The 20726-nt window shown below is 41.0% G+C and overlaps 1 protein-coding gene across 57 annotated transcripts in view; it reads right to left on the bottom strand.

Annotated features, from left to right (window-relative positions):
• ST3GAL3 (ST3 beta-galactoside alpha-2,3-sialyltransferase 3) overlaps positions 1 to 20726 on the bottom strand; it is a 223624-nt gene that overhangs the window by 177807 nt on the left and 25091 nt on the right. For 35 of the 57 annotated variants that reach the window (NR_073021.3, NR_073018.3, NR_146867.2 and 32 more), the window contains exon 2: positions 16973 to 17120. Coding sequence is in view for 41 of the 57 variants with exons in the window: in XM_047428200.1 (XP_047284156.1) it covers positions 16973 to 17090 (118 nt within the window). In the remaining 16 variants the exon portion in view is untranslated. Of the gene's footprint in view, positions 1 to 16927; positions 17121 to 20726 lie in introns of all 57 variants that reach the window. The other 22 variants (XR_946744.3, XR_946743.3, XR_007063036.1 and 19 more) reach the window with 1 other exon arrangement.

The raw sequence follows: 20726 nt of genomic DNA, 5'->3' as shown, positions 1-20726 counted from the left end.
ACAAAAATGTGCTATAGGTAAAACCAAAAATAGCACTTTACTGGAGTGTACTCTGAGCCCTATACCACTATTTCATTAAGCAGTCTGCACACCAGGCAATATTCAACTGCACTGCACAGCAGCTCTAACTCATGCCCACGCGTGTACAGGGTCCCTACAGTTCTCTGGAATATACTCTGTTATCAGTGTGCCATCAGTGCTGTCTTGAATTGGACATGGTGTCCCACTGTGTTACTGCTTTTAAATTATAAATTTGAGTTAGCTTAGCCATTAGTTCAGTTTCTGTAAATTGTTTAGTTATAACCTTTACAATGAGTACTGATGCATATTTACATCAATAAGATTTCTGACTTAATTTTCCAATTACAAGGTCTCAAGGCATATATGAGTTACTGTTCAAATATGAATAATCTTTTAAAGATTTATACATAATCCTCTAAAATTTGTTTGTAGAGAGACAGTCCATCTCTATCATCCAGTTCTTTCTCTACTGAAAAGTGAAATTAGATGAACAAGAGGTTTTTTGCCTTAAAGTTTGCTATAGTCAAGAAAACTTGTTGACTGGACGTGGTGGCTCATGCCAGCAGTTTGGGAGTCTGAGGTGGGAGGATCGCTTGAGCCCAGGAGTTCAAGACGAGCCTGGGCAAACATGGTGAGACCCACTCCTACAAAAATATAAAAATTAGCCAGGCATGGTGGTGTGCACCTGTAGTCCCAACCACCACATGGGAGGATGAGATGGGAGGCTTACTTGAGCCCAGGAGGTGGAGGTTGCAGTGAGCCGTGATTGTGCCACTGCACTCCAGCCTGGGACACAGAGCGAGACCCTGTCTGAAACAAACAAACAAAATATTGTGAGGGAATAAGTGAGGAAGAAGAGCCAAGGAAAAAATATTTAGTCTATGAAACAGGTGGGTGAATCAGGGGCTTCAGATATCAAGTATTGTTACTGAGAGCACAAACTTTGAAGACAGGAAACCTTTAGTTAAAGCTTTGTCTCTGTTAGTGATCAACCCACTTAAAATTGTTTTCCCACCTGCAAAATGGAACAAGAGCAGTCCCCACTTTACCAGTGTGATCTCAAAAAAGGCATTAACTTGTTGAGCCTCATTAGCCTTACCTGTAAAATGTGGAAATACTATCAAACATACCTAGTAGATTAAATAACATGATGCATGCAAAGCGCTTTAGAACACTGTGAGCTCCAAGCACATAGTTGAATGTTCAAAAAATTTAGGCCGGGCGCAGTGGCTCACACCTGTAATCCCCGCACTTAGGGAGGCCAAGGCAGGAGGATAGCCTGAGGTCAGGAGTTCGAGACCAGCCTCACCAACATGGTGAAACCCTGCCTCTATTAAAAAGACAAAATTAGTCGGGTGTGGTAGCAGGGCCTGTAATCCCAGCTACTGAGGAAACTGAGACAGGAGAATCGCTTGAACCCGGAGGTGGAGGTTGCAGTGAGCCGAGATCGCGCCACTGCACTCCAGCCTGGGTGACGAGAACCTCCGTCTCAAAAAAAAACAGAACAAAAAAAAATGTAACCAATTACAACCTCGTAAGGTTGCTAGATTATAACGACCATGAGAGTAGGACAGGCCTATATTCATCTTTCTATCCCAAAGACCTGACACAGAATACGCCAGGAATACTCTAACTGCCAATTAATGTTTACTGCTGTTGATTTTGAGCTTCCTACAAATAAAGTGTGGGATTGACCTATCTGTATACATATGCATTTGAGTGTGTCTCTGTGTGTATGTAAGTGAAAAAGATCATCCTTATATACTTTCCATCTTCATGTAGGAGTATATGAAGATCTACCTTAGCCATTTCAATGGCTGCAGAGTATCTGTCAAATGGACATGCCATTATTTATTTACTCAATCTTTTATTGTTTCCATTTTTTTCTTATAAACAATGCAATGTGCACACCTGTACATATATCTGTGCATGCTTGTTCTGTATTTCTTTAGGAAGTAAAACTGATGGATCAAAAGGCATGTATATTTATACTTTTGAATACACACTATTATATTGCCTTCCAGGAACCCACTTATATTATATAAAAATAATGGTTTACTTATGCATGTACAGGGCATTATAATTCTAAACTCTTTGCCAGCATGAAAGGTACTGCCAATATGGAAAAATAAAATAACAATTACGTACCATCATTCTTTTATACTTTGTATTTCTTTAAAAAACAGTGAGAATATTTTTGTAAATAAACACTAACCACTTATAATTTTCCTTCTGTGAAATTAAGATGTTCCTGCATTTTATCAATTTTTCTATTTAAGTGTTGGTTTTTCCAATTTATACAAGCTCTTTATATATATTAAGAATATCATCTCTCTGTCATATATACCAAAAATATTTTTCCTGGCTTGTTGTTCATCTTAACTTTGCTTAGAATTTCTAGAGAATTTTTTAAAACAGAAGTTTTAATAAAAGATAGCTTTTTTTTTTTCTTGAGACAAAGTCTCACTCACTTTATCAGCCAGGCTGGAGTGCAGAGGCGTGAGCACAGCTCAGGCATGAACATGGCTCACTGAGCCTCCTAAGTAGCTGAGACTACAGGTGCACACCACCACGCTGGGCTAATTTTTTTTTTTTTTTACTTGTTGTAGAGACAGGGTCTTCCAATATTGCCTAGGCTGGTCTCAAACTCCTGGGCTCAAGAGATCCTCCTGCCTTAGCCTCTGAATGTACTGGGATTACAGGCATTAGCCACTGTGCTGGGCCAAAAGATAACATTTTTCATTCTTTTATGGTTTGGTATCAAGCGAATAAAATCCCTTTCTCAACCCCAATATCATATTCTTTATTGTTTTCTAGTACTTTAATTTAGTTCTTTATAATTAAATATCTAATCTAGCTGAAATTTATTTTTGTCTAAGGTGTATATTTGTTTTACTTACCTACTGATGGAAATTTAGGTTGTTTCCAGTACCTGGCTATTGTTAATAAAGCTGCCACCAACATTTGTTTACAACTCTTTTTGTAGGCAAAGGTTTTCATTTATCTTGGGAAGTATGAGTTGCTGAGTCATGTACTAAACATATGCTGAACTTTAAAAGAAATTGCCAAATTGTTTTCCACAGTGGTTGTACCATTTTACACTCCATTTGAAAACACAAGAGAGTTGCTAAGTTGAAGCATGCTAATCTTTAAATTTCAGCAATTCTAATGGGTGTGAAGTGGCATTTCACTGAGGTTTTAATTTGCTTTCCCTGACGTCTAATGATGATGAATCTTTTGAGGTGTGTCTTAATCCACTCTGTGTGCTATAACAAAATACCTGAGACTGGGTAATTTATATTGAAAAAAAAGAAATTTATTTTCTCATAGTTCTAGAGATTCTGAAGTCAAAGATCAAAACATTAGCAGGTTTGGTGTCTGGAAAAGCCCCAGTATTCTCTTCCAAGAGGGCACCTTAAAACGGTGCATCCACAGGAAGGGAAAAACACTGTGTCCTCATATGGCAGAAGGCAGAAGGGGCAAAAAGGGACCAAACTCTCTCTGTCAAGCCCTTTTTATAATGGCATTCATTCATTTATGAGGGCAGAGCACTCATGACCCAATCACTTCCCAAAGGGTCCCATCTCCCAACACTGTTGCACTGGGGATTGAGTTTCTAACACAAGAATTTCTGGAAGGGACAAGAACATTCAAACCATAGCAAGGTGCTTATCAGTCATTTGTAATTTTTTTTGTATGAAATATCTGTTCAAGTCCTTTGTCAGTTTCTTTTTGTTGTTCATTTTTTTGTTTGTTTGTTTAAGATGGGGTATCACTGTGTTGTCCAGGCTGATCTTGAACTCCTGGGCTCAAGTGACCCTCCCACCTGGTCTCCCAAAAGTACTCTGTCAACTCCTTAACTAGGTTGTTTGCCTCCTTATTCAGTTGTAAGAGTTCCTTATATCTTCTGGATCCAAGTCCTTTGCCCAATGTATCTTGTCAATATTTTTCCCAGCATGTGGCTTGCTTTTTATTTACTTGATGGAACAATTTGAAGAGCAGAAAGAATCTCAATGGATACAATTGATAAATATTTCTTTTATGGTTAATGCTTTTTGTGCTACCACAACAGCATGAAGATTTTCTCCTTTTCTATAAATTTTACACTTAGGTCTACGATCCACTTAAAATTGATTTTTGTATATGGTGTGAGGTAGGAATTGTGGTTCCTTATTTTTCTATATAGATATCTAGTTATTGCACCAGAGTATATTGAAAAGACTCCCTATCCCACTGAATTATGTTATTACTTTTATCAAAATTCAATTGACTACATATGCATGGTCTATTTCTGGACTCTATTCTGTCTACTGATCTTTCACCAATACTGTATTGTCCTGATTACCACAGTAAGACTTGAAGTGAAGTAGTGTAAGCTCTCTAACTTCTACTTTCCAAAGTCTAGATTCTTTGTGTTTTCATATAAATTTTAGAATCAGCTATTGATTTCTTTTTTTAAGCCTGCTGAAATTTTAATTAGGATTGCATGAATCTATAGATCAATCTTGAAAGAATGAGGATCTTCACTTAAGGCCAGGAGTTCAAGACCAACCTGGGCAACAACTCAAAACCTCATCTCTGCAAAAATAAAACATAAAAATTAAAAACAGGTCTGGCAAGGTGGCTCACACCTGTAATCTCAACACTTTGGGAGGCCAAGGTGGGAGGACTGTTTGACAACAGGAGTTCAGGACCAGCCTAGGCAACAATGTAAAACCCTGTCTTTATAAAAATTTTTTTTTTAAATTGGCTGGGCATGCCTGTAATCCCAGATACTTAGGAGGCTGAGGCAGGAGGATTGCTTAAGCTGGGGAGGTTGAGGCTGCAGTAAGCTGTGATCCTGCCACTGTACTCCAGCCTGGATGACAGAGCCAGACTCTGGCTCAAAAAAAAAAAAAAAAAAAAAAATGGGGGCTGTTTTAACAATATTAAGTGTTCCAATACATAGGCATCATAAATCTCTCCTTATTTAGATGTCTTTATTTAATCTCTTTAGATCTTTAATTCCTCTCAGCAGTATTTTTATAGTTTTCAGTGTAGAGGTCTTGCATATGTTTAGATTTATTTCTAAGTATCTTATTTTTTTGATGCTATTGCAAATAATGTTGTTTAATCTTATTTTCTATTTGTGTGCTTCCAGTATATAGAAACGCAACTGAGTTTTATATATTGTGTGATATTGTTATATAGTAAGAAATATATATTTGGTTTCTGCTCCTAGTTCCTGAGACAGGGCTCCTAAATCCCTTGGGATTTCCTGGGTGGTAGGAGCATTTTTTGTTCTAATGAGGTGACTCTTAGTGGGTTCCTGGACAGTCCCTCGGGATGAGGGCTGGTTACCAGGGGAACCAACAATGTGTTTGGAGGGCTAAAAGTTGAGTTTATCACCAATGACCAGTGATTTAGTCAATCCTGCATACGTAACGAATCCTCCATAAAAATCCCTGAGCTGGCCAAGCATGGTGACTCACACCTGTAATCCCAACACCTTGGGAGGCCAAGGCAAGCGGATCACCTGAGGTTAGGAGGTTGAGACCAGCCTGGCCAACATGGTGAAACCCTGTCTCTACTAAAAGTACAAAACTTAGCCAGAGGTGGTGGTGGGCGCCTGTAATCCCAGCTACTCGGGAGGCTGAGGCAGGAGAATTGCTTGAACCTGGGAGGCGGAGGTTGCAGTGAGCCAAGATGGTGCCATTGCAGGCTGGAGATAATACTCCAGCCTGGGCAACAGAGCGAGACTCCATCTCAAAAAAAAAAAAAAAAAAAAAAATCCCTGAGCTATGGGGTCTGCAGAGTTCCCAGACCGTTGAACACGTGGAGGTGCGGGAGAGTGGCATGCCTGGAGACAGCATGGAAGCCCTGGGCCCGTTTCCCCATCCTTCACCCCAGGTATCTCTGCCTCTGGCTGGTTTGTTTGTTTGAGATGGAGTCTCACTCTGTCACCCAGACTGGAGTGCAGTGGCATGATCTCGGCTCACTGCAATATCCGCCTCCTGGGTTCAAGCGATGCTCTTGCCTCAGCCTCCCGAGTAGCTGGGATTACAGGCACGTGCCACCATGTCCGGCAGGCTAATTTTTGTATTTTTAGTAGAGATGGGGTTTCACCATGCTGGCCAGGCTGCTCTCGAACTTCTGACCTGGTGATCTGCCCGCCTTGGCCTCTCAAAGTGGTGGGATTATAGGCGTGAGCCACTGTGCCCGGCCTCATTTTTTTGTTTTACGTTTTTATTGTGGTAAGATAATGCAACATAAAATTTACCATTTTAGGCCAGGCGCAGTGGCTCACGCCTGTAATCCTCGCACTTCGGGAGGCTGAGGCAGGTGGATCACTTGAGGTCAGGATTTTGACACCAGCCTGGCCAATATGGTGAAACCCCGTCTCTACTAAACAACCAAAAAAAATTAGTCAGGCATGGTAGCACATGCCTGTAGTACCAGCTACTTGGGAGGCTGAGGCAAAAGAATTGCTTGAACCCAGCAGGCAGAGGTTGCAGTGAGCCGAGATGGCGCCACTGCACTCCAACCTGGGTGACAGAGTGAGACTTGTCTCAAAAAAAAAAACAAAAACTAGGCCAGGCGCAGTGGCTCACACCTGTAATCCCAGCACTTTGGGAGGCCAAGGCAGGTGAATCACAAGGTCAGGAGATTGAGACCATCCTGGCCAACATGGTGAAACCCCATCTCTACTAAAAATACAAAAAATTAGCCAGATGTGGTGGCGGGCTCCTGTAGTCTCAGCTACTCGGGAGGCTGAGGCAGGAGAATGGCATGAACCCAGGAGGCGGAGCTTGCAGTGAGCCGAGATTGCACCATTGCACTCCAGCCTGGGTGACAGAGTGAGACTCCATCTCAAAAAAAAAAAAAAAAAATTACCATTTTAAGTTTACACATCTGTGGCATCAAGTACATTCACACTGTTGTACATCCATTACCACCATGCAGCCCTAGAACTCTTTTCATCTTATAAACTGAAACTCTGAACCCATTGAACTCTCCGCTCCCCTCTGTTCCAGTCTCCGGCAGCCATGTTTTACTTTCTGTCTCTATGAATTGACTACTCTAGGAACCTCGTATAAGAGGAATCTTACAGTATTTGTCCTTTTGTTACTGGCTTACGCATTTAACATGATGCCTTCAAGGTCCACCCATGCTGCAGCATGTGTCAAAATTTCCTTCCTTCTTTGGGACTGACTAAATATTTTTTAGTATTCCATTTTATTTCTTCTGATAGCTTCTCAGATATAGTCATGCATCACTTAACGACAGGGATATATTCTAAGAACTGCGCTGTTAGGCAATTTCGTCATTGTGCAAATATCATAGAGTGTATTTAGAAATGTGATTGTACTGAAATACTGTAGGCAATTGTAACACAATGGTATTTGCGTATCAAAACATATCTAGGTCAGGCGCAGTGACTGATGCCTGCAATGCCATCACTTTGGGAGGCTGAGGCAGGTAGATCAATTGAGGTGAGAAGTTCAAGACCAGCCTGGCCAACATGGCGAAGCCCTGTCTCTACTGAAAATAGAAAAATTAGCTGGGTGTGGTGGCATGCACCTGTAGTCCCAGCTACTCGGGAGGCTGAGGCATGAGAATTGCTTCAACCCAGAGGGCGGAGGCTGCAGTAAGCCAAGATCATGCCACTGCACTCTGGCCTGGGCTACAGAGTGAGATTCTGTCTCAATCAATCAATCAAACATATCTAAACATAGAAAAGCTACAGTAAAAATATGATATTATAATCTTACGGAACCACTTTTGCATATGTGGTCTGTCACTGACCAAAATGCTGCTATGCAGTGTATGACTGTTTGTCTCTTTTTGTTGTGTTATTTAAGTAGTTGTTCTAGAGCTAACAATACTCATCCTTAACTTATCAGTCTATTTAGAGTCAGTATAATACCTCTTCAAATCTGACATTTCATATTTATTACTTTACCCTTTCCTTTTCTCACTTTATATAAAACATTCTTGTTTCCCACTTACTTCTTTTTTCACAAATATAACCTTGTACAGTAAAATTACATTTACCCATCCCCCATCCCTTATGCAAGTGTTGACATATCTTTTACCTCTACATATGTCCAAAATCTCACTTTACTGGGTTATTATTTTTGCTTTAAACAATTAGTTGTCTTTTAAGAAAGTTATGAGAAGAAGGAAAGAGAGTCATATTTGCCTACCATTTACCATTTCCAGTGGTCTTCATCTTTCCTGTATAGCCCAGTTGGCCAGGCTGATTTCAAACTCCTGACCTTAAGTCAGCCCTCCCAAAGTGTTGGGATTACAGGCATGAGCCTATTTTTCTTTCTTTCTTTCTTTCTTTTTTCTTTTTTTTCAAACACAGTTTCACTCTGTCACCCAGCCTGGAATGCAGTGGCACGATCTTGGCTCACTGCAACCTCTGTCTCCCGAGTTCAAGCGATTCTCAGGCCTCAGCCTCCCAAGTAGCTGGGATTACAGGCACATGCCATCACGCCAAGCTAATTTTTGTATTATTATTAGTAGAGATGGGGTTTCACGGTCTCAAACTCCTGACCTCAGGTGATCCCGCCTGCCTCAGCCTCCCAAAGTGCTGGTATTACAGGCATAAACCACCACGCCAGGCTATTATATTTTATTTTATTTTTTATTTTATTTTATTTATTTATTTATTTATTTATTTATTTATTTTTTGAGAGGGAGTCTCGCTCTGTCCCCCACGCTGGAGTGCAGTGGTGCAATCTTGGCTCACTGCAAGCTCACTGTTTATTTTTTAAACGAGAAGTTTATTTAAAGAAGATGATGCCGCCAGGTGTGGTGGCTCACGCCTGTAATCCCAGCACTTTGGAAGGCCGAGGCGGGCAGATCACCTGAGGTCAGGAGTTCGAGACCAGCCTGGCCAACATGGTGACATCCCGTCTCTACAAAAATTAGCTGGGCATGATGGCGGGTGCCTGTAATCCCAGCTACTCGGGAGGCTGAGGTAGGAGAATCGCTTGAACCCAGGAGGTGGAGGTCGTAGTGAGCTAAAATCACTCCACTGTACTCCAGCATGGGCGAGAGAGCAAGATTCTGTCTAAAAAAAAAAGAAGATGCTTGATTTGAAGGAAAAACTAGGATTCATTTTTAAGAGTAATTACCCGCCTTAAAGACAGACTTCTCTATATGAAACACCTACATACAAAAAATTGTAAAACTGTCTTTGGTTTTATGATGATAAATAAAAAACATTAAAATTCTCCAATCAAACAAGGTATGCAAGGATTTTTCATGTTGGCTTTTTTGTTGAAATAGTGAGAGGAAATTAAGTTACTGGAATATAAAGATAAGCATGCCACTAATGGAGAAAGAGTATTTTCACAGAACCAGTATCTTTCCCCATCCCATATCCATTTGATGGTAATCAAAACATACCATTGGCCATTTTGTTTTCTTAAAAGTACAATATGCGTGTGTACACACACCACTTACTCTACATGTAATATAGGAATGGGGGGGGGGGGAATGAAAGAATAGAGAATACTATACTGTAGTAGTCAGGATGTGGCAGAACCAAATTGCAGTTTTCTAACTGAGAATGTATTGTTGCTCTGTAAGAATGGAGTTCTGGACTAAAGTAGCAGGTTCCTTTGTAGTAGACACCTGTCTGCTACTGGAACATGGCAATGGTACTTTCATCTTCCACTTCCAGGTGTGCAGGTGTGCCTGTTTCATGGATTGGCCACCTGTCAAATGGGAATCTGATCTGCCTCACTGACAGACCCTCTCATTCACAATAAGCTTTCATTAGTTTACTAAATGGTGTATCCCTCTTAATCTTAAACTGCACCACAGAACCAATCTGCCCCACCACCTTCAAATTAGTATGATCGTTGCTCTTAAGTGTTGACACCTCTCTTGGCATTTCATGGGCCACAGGGAACACCAGAGATATCAGTTGCTGCTTCACTAAAGAGGCACCATGTCCACACCAAATGAGCTCATCAGCAGCACCAGCAGCAGCCTCTCCTTATTTTTAGATTTCAGAAGTCTAACTATGATGTACCTAGGTTTTTTCCCCCAATATTTATCTTTCTTGGGGTTGGCTCTATAAGGGGGCTCTGTTTTGGTTCTGTAAGTCAATGGTTTTCATCAAACTTAGGAAGTTTTCAGCCATTATTTATTTTTTTTTCCTTCAGATGAGTAAGTATGGGAAATTAATTTTCAAAAAATAAAATGTTATTTTTTTTCCTGCCCAATTGTCTTTTTTTTTTTTTTTGAGACGGAGTCTCGCTCTGTCACCAGGCTGCAGTGCAGTGGCGCGATCTCGGCTCACTGCAAGCTCCGCCTCAAGCAATTCTCCTGCCTCAGCCTCCCAAGCAGCTGGGACTACAGGCACGTGCCACCAGGCCCAGCTAAATTTTGTATTTTTAGTAGAGACAGGGTTTCACCATGTTGGCCAGGATGGTCTCGATCTTTCTTTCTGTGGTTCAGACTGGATAATTTCCATTGTGTTCTCTTCAAACTCATGGGCTTCTTCCGTTTTATGTAATCTGCTGTTAAGTGAAACTTCCATTTCAGTTACTACACTTTTCAGGTCTAGAATTTGCATTTGGTTCTTTTTTATAGATTCCATTTCTCTGCTGAGACTACTCATTGTTCACTACTGTATTTTCCTTTAATTATTTAAATATATTCATAATAGTTACTTTGTCTGCTAAGTGCAACACTGAGGCCATCTTATCCATAGATTTTTCTTCTTGAATATGGATATTCTCCTGTTTCTTTGCATGTCTTAGTAACTTTTTTTGAACATTAGCCACTGTGGATATTACACATAAAAACTATGAATACTGTTATCTTCCTATGAAGAGTGTCAATTTGTATTTTAGCAGATGGTTCAATGACTACCTGACGGCCCTGAATTTGTGTGGTCTTGATTTTATGCATCATGAGTGTGGATCTGAGGAAAGCCCATGGCATTTTTGACCTCTCTTGATAAGACCCAAACTTTGAAATCTGTCTTGCTGGGGGTTGGCTTTAGGCCTTGTTAGGGCGGGTCTACGGTAGATCTTACTCTTGGGTAAGATCTTTATTCATAAGGCATGGCCTGTCTGGGGTCTCAGCTGGACGCCAGGGGTGTTAACAAAGTGTTAATGAGATCTTTCTACTGGTAGGGCTGGACCATCAGCGTTCCTGGCATTGCTTTCACCCCAACAGGACTTGACCTCCAGTATCTCTTTTCTATTCATCCTGTACCAGCTGCTGTCTATATGGTAAGCTTCAGGTGGCTTCACCCCATGTATAAATAATAGGCCAGTCCTTAGCTTCAGCCTCACAGGAATGCCCCCACAGACTTCTGAGACCCTCTTGCTGAACAATTCCCTACCCTATGATGGTCCACCCCACAGATTCCAACTGCTTCAGCTGCCCAAACTCTGACCTCTGCCTCTTCAGCTCAGGGGAAATCATCACAGCCTGTTTAGACTCCACTCACAGAACAGGGTTGGGAAACCGTCCTCAGACAGAAAACTGAGCAAATGTGGCGCTCACCTCGAGTTTTCCTTCTCTTAGGAACTGAAATTTTACGCTGCCTGTTGTCTACAGGCTGACACAATTGCTTCATTTCTTTTGTCCAGTTTTATAGCTTCCTATAGAGAGGAGGCTAGTTCTGATACCACTTACTTCCTTACCATGGGAAGCAGAGTACCTCCCTAAGCCAGAGGCCAGAAACATGGCCAGAAATGCCAGCCTCCTCTTCATTTTTAAGACAGAAAACTAAGAGTTAATACAATGTCCTACGTCTATTAAACTCACTTCAACCTGTCCTCCTAATATCAGATCCAACTTCCGCTTTTGTGCCAGAGAGTATTCTCCAGGGCAATCAGATCAACAATGTGTACTTTATAATTTGAATGCATATTTTATAATTTATCTGGTTATAATCTTTTATAAATATGAGGAAGAACACAAAGGGAGCTGTAATAATTGATAAACACAGTAGCATGAATTTAATTTTTAAAACATTTTTGAGACAGGGTCTCACTCTGTCACACAGGCTGGATGGAGTACAGTGGCGTGACCACAGCTCACTGCAGCCTTGATTGACTTCCTGGGCTCAAACGATCCTCCCACCTCAGCCTCTCGAGTAGCTGGCACCATAGACATGTACCACCACATTCAGCTAATTTTTTTTATTTTTCTGTGGAGACAGGGTCTCCCTATGTTGCCTAGGCTGGTCTTGAACTCCTGGGCTCAAGCAATCCTTCCACTTCAGCCTCCAAAAGTGCTGAGATTATAGGCATGAGCCACCTCACCCAGTCATGAATTTTTAAAGGTCTCACAGCACAGGAAACTAATCCTATGAAAGATCTACTTTATTAATTAGAAATGAATTTCTTTCCTTCTTTCCTTCCTTCCTTCCTCCTTTCCTCCCTCCCTTCCTTCTTTCCTCCCTCCCTTCCTCGCTCCCTTTCTCTGTCTCTCTCTCTCCCTCTTCCTCCCTCCCTCACTCCCTCTCTCCTTCTCTTTCTCTCTCTCTCTTTCTTTCTTAAGACAAGGTTTCATGCTGTTGCCCAGGTTAGAGTACAGTGGCACAATCATAGCTCACTGCAACCTTGAAATCCTGGGCCTAAGTGATCCTCCTACCTCAGCCTCCTGAGTAGCTATACCACTCGCCGTACACGTGTGCACCACTATGCCTGGATAATATTTTTTAATTTTTTTGTAGAGACAAGGCCTCGTGACATTACCCAGGCTGGTCTCAAACTCCTGGCCTCAAATAATTCCCCCAGCCTCAAGAAATCCTCCCTCCTCAGTCTCTCAAAGTGCTGGAATTCCAGATGTGAACCACCATACCCAGCAGAAATAAGTAAAATTTTAAATTAATAAAAATATGCAAGGCTTCCATGAAATGAACCATTGTGAAATAAGGGCTATTGCAAAGAGGCAACTACCCGACTCCTATACAAGGTACTGACCTAAATAAAGCATCAGAGCAAAGAGAAATAAGTCTTTTTTTTTTTTTTTTGAGACTGAGTCTTGCTCTGTGGCCCAGGCTCACTGCAACCTCTGCCTCCCGAGTTCAAGCGGTTCTCCTGCCTCAGCCTCCCAAGTAGCTGGGACTACAGGGGCGCGCCACCACACCTGGCTAATTTTTTGTATTTTTAATAGAGACGGGGTTTCACCATGTTAGCCAGGATGGTCTCGATCTCCTGACCTCATGATCCGCCCACCTCGGCCTCCCAAAGTGCTGGGATTACAGGTGTGAGCCACTGTGTCCGGCCAAGAAATAAGTCTTTTATCTTCATTTTGGAGATGAAGAATCAAGCACACCCAACTCCTTCTAACTCCAGATACTGGTGATTTGTTCATTAATTAAAATATATATTAAAAATATATGTATGCGTACATATTTTATCATACTACATGTATAATAATTCTACACTACTTTTTAAAACAGGTTGATAACTAGACTATTTTCATACTTGAAGCTTTTCACATTAAGCATTTGACTCAAGTCTTGGCAACCTGACCAAGCCTAGGTCACAAGTGTCTCTAAACTACCCAAGACAAAGCAGTTTGTAGCCCTCTACAATACACCTTGGAATTAATGAAAACATAAATTTTCTCTCTGGAAGGAATCCTATGCTCCAACACAGCATTTCACACAGATTGCTCTTTTAGAACTCAGTATATTATAATAATTGTTGTGTTTTGTTCTCATATTATAGGCTAAGAGTATGAAGGCCTATGTTCATCTTATATCCAGTTTACCCAGAACAGTACATGGACCATAATAAGAACATACTGCTTACTGAATGAATAATATAATAATAAAAACTCTAGCCTCAGGCCAAGTGCAGTGGCTCATGCCTGTAATCCCAGCACTTTGGGAGGCTGAGGTGAGAAGACCACTTGAGCTCAGGAGTTTGAGACCAGCCTAGGCAACGTGGAGAAACCCCATCTCTACAAAAAAATTTTGAAAAATTAGTTGGGCGTGGTGGTGCACACCTGTAGTCCCAGCTACTTGGGAGGCTGAGGTAGAAGCCCAGGAGGTTGAAGCTGCGGTGAGCCGAGATCACACCACAAAACTCTAGCCTGGGTGACAGAGTGAGACCCTGTGCCAAAAACAAAAACCAAAAACCAACTCTAGCCTCTTCCCCCTGCCATGAAGAAATTCCAATAGATTATCTGAGTAACTTATTAATATTCTAAACATTAAGGAAAAATAATGCTAAAGACATTTATTTTTCTAACTTGGGATTGTCCTCAACCTCCTCAGATGAAAGGCATACAAACTCTTGATTACACAGCCTCTCTGAAGCCTCAGTTTCTGTATCTGTAAAATGAGGATAATAATAACCAATAAAAACTATGAGGATCAAATGAGATTCCGAGTATAAAGACCCTGCTATCTTACGGACATATAGTAGATATAGTAATCAATAAATTACTATTTCATCTTATCATCATCAGTATTATTAAAACACAGCCTAAATTTCACAACATAACAGTCTTTGGGGTTGTGATGCTCCTTCAGCTTGACTCTAAGTAAAGGACTCCTCTCCGGCCGGGCGCAGTGGCTCATGCCTGGAATCCCACCACTTTGGGAAGCCAAGGCAAGCAGACCACTTGAGCCCAGGAGTTTGAGACCAGCCTGGGCAACATGACTAAACCCCATCTCTACAAAAGACACAAAAATTAGCCAGGAATGGTGGTGTGAGTCTGTGGTCCCGGCTACTTCGAGAGGTTGAGGTAGGAGGATCGCTTGAGCCTGGCAGGTTGAGGCTACAGTGAGCTATGACTGCACCACTGCACTCTGGCCTGGGCAACAGAGTGAGACCTCATCTCAAAAAAAAAAACAAAAAAAAAACAAAGAGGACCCGTCTGATTTAGTAAGCCATGCAGGGTGGGTCCTATTACTCTGTTCTCTGATATTACAGCACATAAAATAGTATGCTTTGGTCAGATGGTCTAAACAACCTATTCAAAGTCAAACATCTAAAAGGCTTAGGAGTCAGAATAGAAAAGCTATAAATACTGGTTAGTCAGCTAACAATTAATGGAAAGGACAGCAGATAACTAGCAATAAACTTCTGAAGCCTACGGCCCAAGTGAATAGCAGCTTGTCACCTTCAAACCTAATAAGCCTCTCTGTCTTCTTTTGATAACTTTCTCTCTTTCCCTCCTTTTCTTTTCACACCCCCTTCCTGACACTCTCTACTATTACTTCTCTGAGCCCCTTTCTCTCTCTCTTTTTACCAGGTAGAATATTAAATTAAGTTCTGCCTTCAGTATTTATTATATTTTTCAATAAAATAATGAACATAGGTTTTAAAGACAGGAATTGAATTCCAGTTCCAACAATATAACCTTGGTAAATTAAAGTGTTTCAGTTTGCTCAACTGGAAAATGGGGATAATAATGGCATCTTCACAAAACTGCAGTAAGAATTACATTAAATGAAATTATATTTGTAAATTGTCTAGCCTAATGCCTGAAACACAATGAGTCTTCCATAAAGTTAATTCCCTTCCCTACTGATCTAGGAAAATCTTATCTGATCCTTGGTTATATCTTCTACAGGTCAGCAGCCCTTAGCGGAAAAGGAGACCCTTGTTCTTCACACACATTTCCATCTAAATTATTGATAGAGATGGATCCACCACTACCAATACAGACAATGAATGCCTCTAAATACAGAATTCTGCATTTCACTGATACAAACACTCCTTATCCTGGGTAGTCTCCTTGGTTTTAAAAATAAGTCAGTGCAGAGAAATTTAAGTAAACTTTTGAAACACAAGTAATTAGTGATAATTATAAGCTAAGCATTTAAAAGGCACTTAAATATTCTATATAAAACAGTAAATTAAGGATATAACACTATATTTTAAAAACTGGCTTGAAACTGCCTCAGTAGTTTGAGCCATGGGAGAAATAAATGAGCTACTTCACTGTAATACTTCCCATGTTAGGGTCTTAGAACAACAGCAGGCCAATTGCCCGTTGCTTCTTCCCACTCACTGCAGCTCACTTTCACCTTGTACCTAGAGACTGACTCTCTTCTCAAGTGAGTTCTATACTGGTATCTGGTAGATGTTAGTAAAAATAAAACTATTTTAAGAGAAGACATATCACTGCAGGTCAAAACAGGCCACTCTGTTCTGATTTTATACTATTTCCCACACCAAGCTCAGATAACAGTCAGACAAAATAACCAAAAAGAAAACCACTATGGTCACTGTGTGATATTTCAAGCTACAGCCAAGAAAACAATGTGCAAAGGCTGGTGCTGATCAATGTAAGCCCTTCAACTGCAAGCCTAGAACCAAAACACAGGCCACATCAGGTAAACAGAAACCAAACCAGTGGGATTCAGGCTATGTGGAAAACACTATGTAACACATGAGACAAAGTGCACAAAGAGAAGAAAAAAATTAGGAGTTACTGGGTAGGGAAAATAAGCCATTATTGTAGCCAGGTGCAAGTTCAATAGCAGCAACGGCTACAAAGATTCAGTAGACAACGTTTCTTTAGGGAAAACAAAACAGAGACAATATTATGTTGAAAATTCAACATAAAGATGAATGTTTTAAGGGCAGATGGAAACCAACTTCAATACTAATCCCTAAGGCAATAAATGGCAAAATAGAGTGGCAATATGCTACAGCAATTAGAAAGAACAAAAGCGTTCAAGAACTAGAAGTATGAGTATAGTTTGGGTTTTTATTGAAGAATAGCACATTCTCACCAAGTTTGTAAAAGGAACTGAGATTTGTCATGGCATGCAGTTTTTAAAAAACATCAAAGTTCTCAGCCTATACCAGCTAAAATGGCAGGCAATTTCTAGGCCAAAGTCCCAGAAATGTTCAGTTTACTCTCATTGCCCATCTCTGAAGAATATGAGACGCAGCCACACGAAAAACCAGTAACTGACCTGCAACAGGCTTCTCCTGGGGTGAGCTAGAGTGACTATACTTACTGGAGTCCTCCTCCCACTGGAGTAAGTGTAGCTTCCACGCAGAATAATACAAAAATCCCAGTACCAGAAAGAGGCAGAGGGCTAGCAGCAGATTGCGCACAAATACCAAGAGTCCCATCTTCACATGATTTACGATTTCCTAAATGACCTAGAAAAGAAAAAGTTTAGTTCTTAAAAGACAAAGCACTCATCTTATTGATATATTCTCTCTTAAAGTATCTATAGAGAGAATTTCCAAATGAAGAATAACTTAGAGTTATCACTTTCATATCATGGCATCTTCTAACCTGCTCATCCCCATCTCAAAAAACAGCTTCATCATCAGCCAGCGCCTAAGCTAGAAAGCAGCAATCATCTTTGCTTCCCCACCCCAGCCGCCGACATCCAGTCCCTGACTAGTTCTGGCAATTCCAGCCTCCCAGATATTTTTCAAATCATAGCCCCTTCCCATGATCACTACCCTAGATTGTGTTATCACAGCATTCCCACAAACACGTTTCCCTGCCTTCAAATTTACATTCTCCAAATCCATTTCCACATGGCACAAGAAGTCTTTTAATAACACAAAATCTGACAATATCCCTGCTTAAACCCCTTTGCATTCGTTCTCTACTGCTGCTGTGGCAAAGTGTCACAAACTTAGCAGTTTAAAACAACACAAAATTATCTCAGAGTTCTGAAGGCCAAAATCTGGATATGGTGAGGCTCAGCTGGATCCTTGCTTAGAGTCGCACAAGGCCAAAACCAAGGTGCTGGTAGGGCTGTGTTCCCTTCTGGAGGCCCTGGAGAAGAATCCACTTCCATGCTCACTCAGGCCGTTGGCTGAATTCAGTTCGTGCAGCTGTAGGGACAAGGCCCCCGTTTCCCGGCTGGTTATCTGCCAGGGGCCAGCCTTCAGGCCTACAGTCCTTTTCATGCTTTCCATGTGGTCCCCTTCAGGCTCTCTCACTCTTTGAATCTCTCCAAATTCCCCCTCCGCCATATCTTGCTTCTCTTCCAGCTGGAGAAACTTCTTTGCTTTTTGGGGCCCATGTGATTATATTGGGCCCACCTTAATAATCCAGGATAATCTCCCTATTTGAAGACCCAAAACCTTAATTATATCTGTGAAGTCCCTTGTGCCATGTCGAGTAACAAATTCATAGGTTCCAGGGATTACGGTGTGGATATCTTTAAAGAGCCATTCTGCCTAACATAGCTTTCATTCAATTCTCAACTCCTCTGAATAAAGTAATTGCTCCTTACAGCCTAGCGGTTTCTGACTGAGCCTCGATTTACTCTCCAATCCATCTCTTGCTTCTCTCAACCTCATTTGTGCCCTATGCTCTAGTCATTGTACTTTCTATTCATTGAATGCTGCCTTGTTTCTATCCTCAAGGTCTGTCTGGAATTCACCCACCCTGCTACTGTACCTGCTATGCATCCTTTGATGTAAAAGGATGCATAGCAGGTACACCTTAAATGTAAAATGTAACATTGGCCAAGAAGACTGCCCTGGGTCAGGCCCTCAACCAAACCCAATCAGATATCTCAGCCACAAAATTACAATGACATAAGAGAAAAAAATGATGTATAAATATTAATAATGGTGTGACAAAACATTATAATTTACAGATAATTGTCCACCTAGGAAAGCCAAGAGAATATACTAAAAAATCATTAGAATAGGAAGTTCAATAAAGTAGGTGATTATGATTATAAGATTAATTTACAAAAATCAACACATTCTTAAAAACCATACCAGCAATAACCAATTAGAAAATGTTAGGTGGGCTGGGCACAGTGGCTCACGCCTATAATCCCAGAACTTTGGTAGGCTGAGGCAGGAGAACTGCTTGAGCCCTGGAGTTTGAGGCCAGCCTAGGCAACATGATGAGATCCTATCTCTACAAAAAGAAAAATTAAAAAGTTAGCCAGGCCTAGTAGTGTGCATCTGTGGTCCTAGCTACCCAGGAAGCTGAGGCAGGAGGATCCTTTAAGCCCAGGAGGTTGAGGCTGCAGTGAGTTGTGAGCGTGCCACTGTACTCCAGCCTGGGTGACAGAGCAAGACCCTGTCTCAAAAAAAAAAAAAACAAAAAAAAAAGAAGAAGAAGAAAGAAAGAGAAGAAAGAAAAGAAAACATAAAGTGAAAAAATTCCATTCATGATGGCAACAAAATCTATAAAATAACTAAAAATAAACTTAGCAAGAAATGGGCAAGACTTTCACCAAAGAACATAAAATATCTGAGTAAATAAAGAGACAAAGGAGGTTCTTTTTTTTTACCCCCCGAGATGGAGTTTCCCTCTGTCGCCCAGGCTGGAGTGCAATGGCACGATCTCGGTTCACTGCAACTTCCACCTCCCCGGGTTCAAGCGATTCTCCTGCCTCAGCCTCCCGAGTAGCTGGGATTACAGGCACGCGCCACCACACCTAGCTGATTTTTTTGTATTTTTAATAGAGATGGGGTTTCACCATGTTGGCCAGGATGGCCTCCTGACCTCGTGATCCACCCACCTCGGCCTCCCAAAGTGCTGGGATTACAGGCGTGAGCCACCACGCCCGGTGAAAGAGGTTCTTAAGTGAGAAGATTCAATTTGAAATATGTCAGTTTTCCTGAAATGTGAGTTTTCTATAAATTCAGTTTCATTCCAGTCAAAATCCATGAATTTTCTGAACTTGGATCTAAAGATAATCTGAAGAGTTCAGGCCCAAGAAGGGCCAAGAAATTTCTTAAAATGAAAAATAATGGGATGAGAATCTGCCTTGCCAGATATCGAACCAACTCAAAGCTATAATTACTAAGGTAGATAGGTACTGGCAGAGGAAAAAACAGGTCAATGGAAGAGAACAGAGTCTAGAAATATGTTATCTCAAATAGAGAAAGAGATACATATACGCACACATACGAATGAGTTTACTTTATACATATAAATGTACTCAATTTACTCTACGCTAAGCATGTACATATAAAAATGGGAGAAAGGCCTGACAGGCTATACAGCTGTTAGCATGCTTACCTGTAGGGAATAGGATGGGATGATGAGAAGCAGGTGAGACTCAGAGGACTTTTACTTTTCCCTTTGTACACTTCTGAATTAAATTTATTTGTCATAGGGCCTAGCATGGCAGCTCAGACCTGAGAGGCCGAAGTAGGAGGACTGCATGAGCCCAGGAGTTCGAGACCAGCCTGGGCAAGATGATGAGATGAGACCCCCATCTCTACAAAAAATTTTAAGATTAGCTGGACATGGTGGCATGTGCCTATAGTCCCAGCTACTTGGGAGGCTGAGGCGGGAAGATTGCTTGAGCCCGCCTCAAGACTGCTTGAGGAGTTCGAGGCTGCAGTGAGCTATGATCATGCTACTGCACATCAGCCTGGGCAACAGAGAGATGCTGTCTCTTAAAAAAAAAAAAAAAAGTATTTTTTATGAAGTCACAAGTACTGCCTCCATTAATTTTTTACTATTAAAAAAATCAAACAACACATTGTAGAAATGTAAATTGGTAGACTCCTTTGGGAACAATTTAGAAGTATCTATTGAAATTTATAATATTCATATACCTTAGCCCAGTCTTTCTATTCCTATGACTTTTTTCTCAAACAATACTCCAACAAATATTAAAAAGGACATGTACATGAATGTTCATTAGCAACTCTGAGTATAACAGCAAGATACTAGAAACAGTTTAAATGCCCAATAATAGGGACCCAATAATTAAATTATGGTAAGTCTCCCTGGTCACATCCATTGAGGTCTTAGCAGGAAAGAGA

The sequence above is a fragment of the Homo sapiens genome, chromosome 1 (assembly GCF_000001405.40).
Source record: "Homo sapiens chromosome 1, GRCh38.p14 Primary Assembly".
In the NCBI taxonomy this organism is placed as follows: Eukaryota; Metazoa; Chordata; class Mammalia; order Primates; family Hominidae; genus Homo; species Homo sapiens.
The sequence above is the reverse complement of the archived record's forward strand: the minus strand, read 5'-3'. Positions and strand labels throughout refer to the sequence as shown.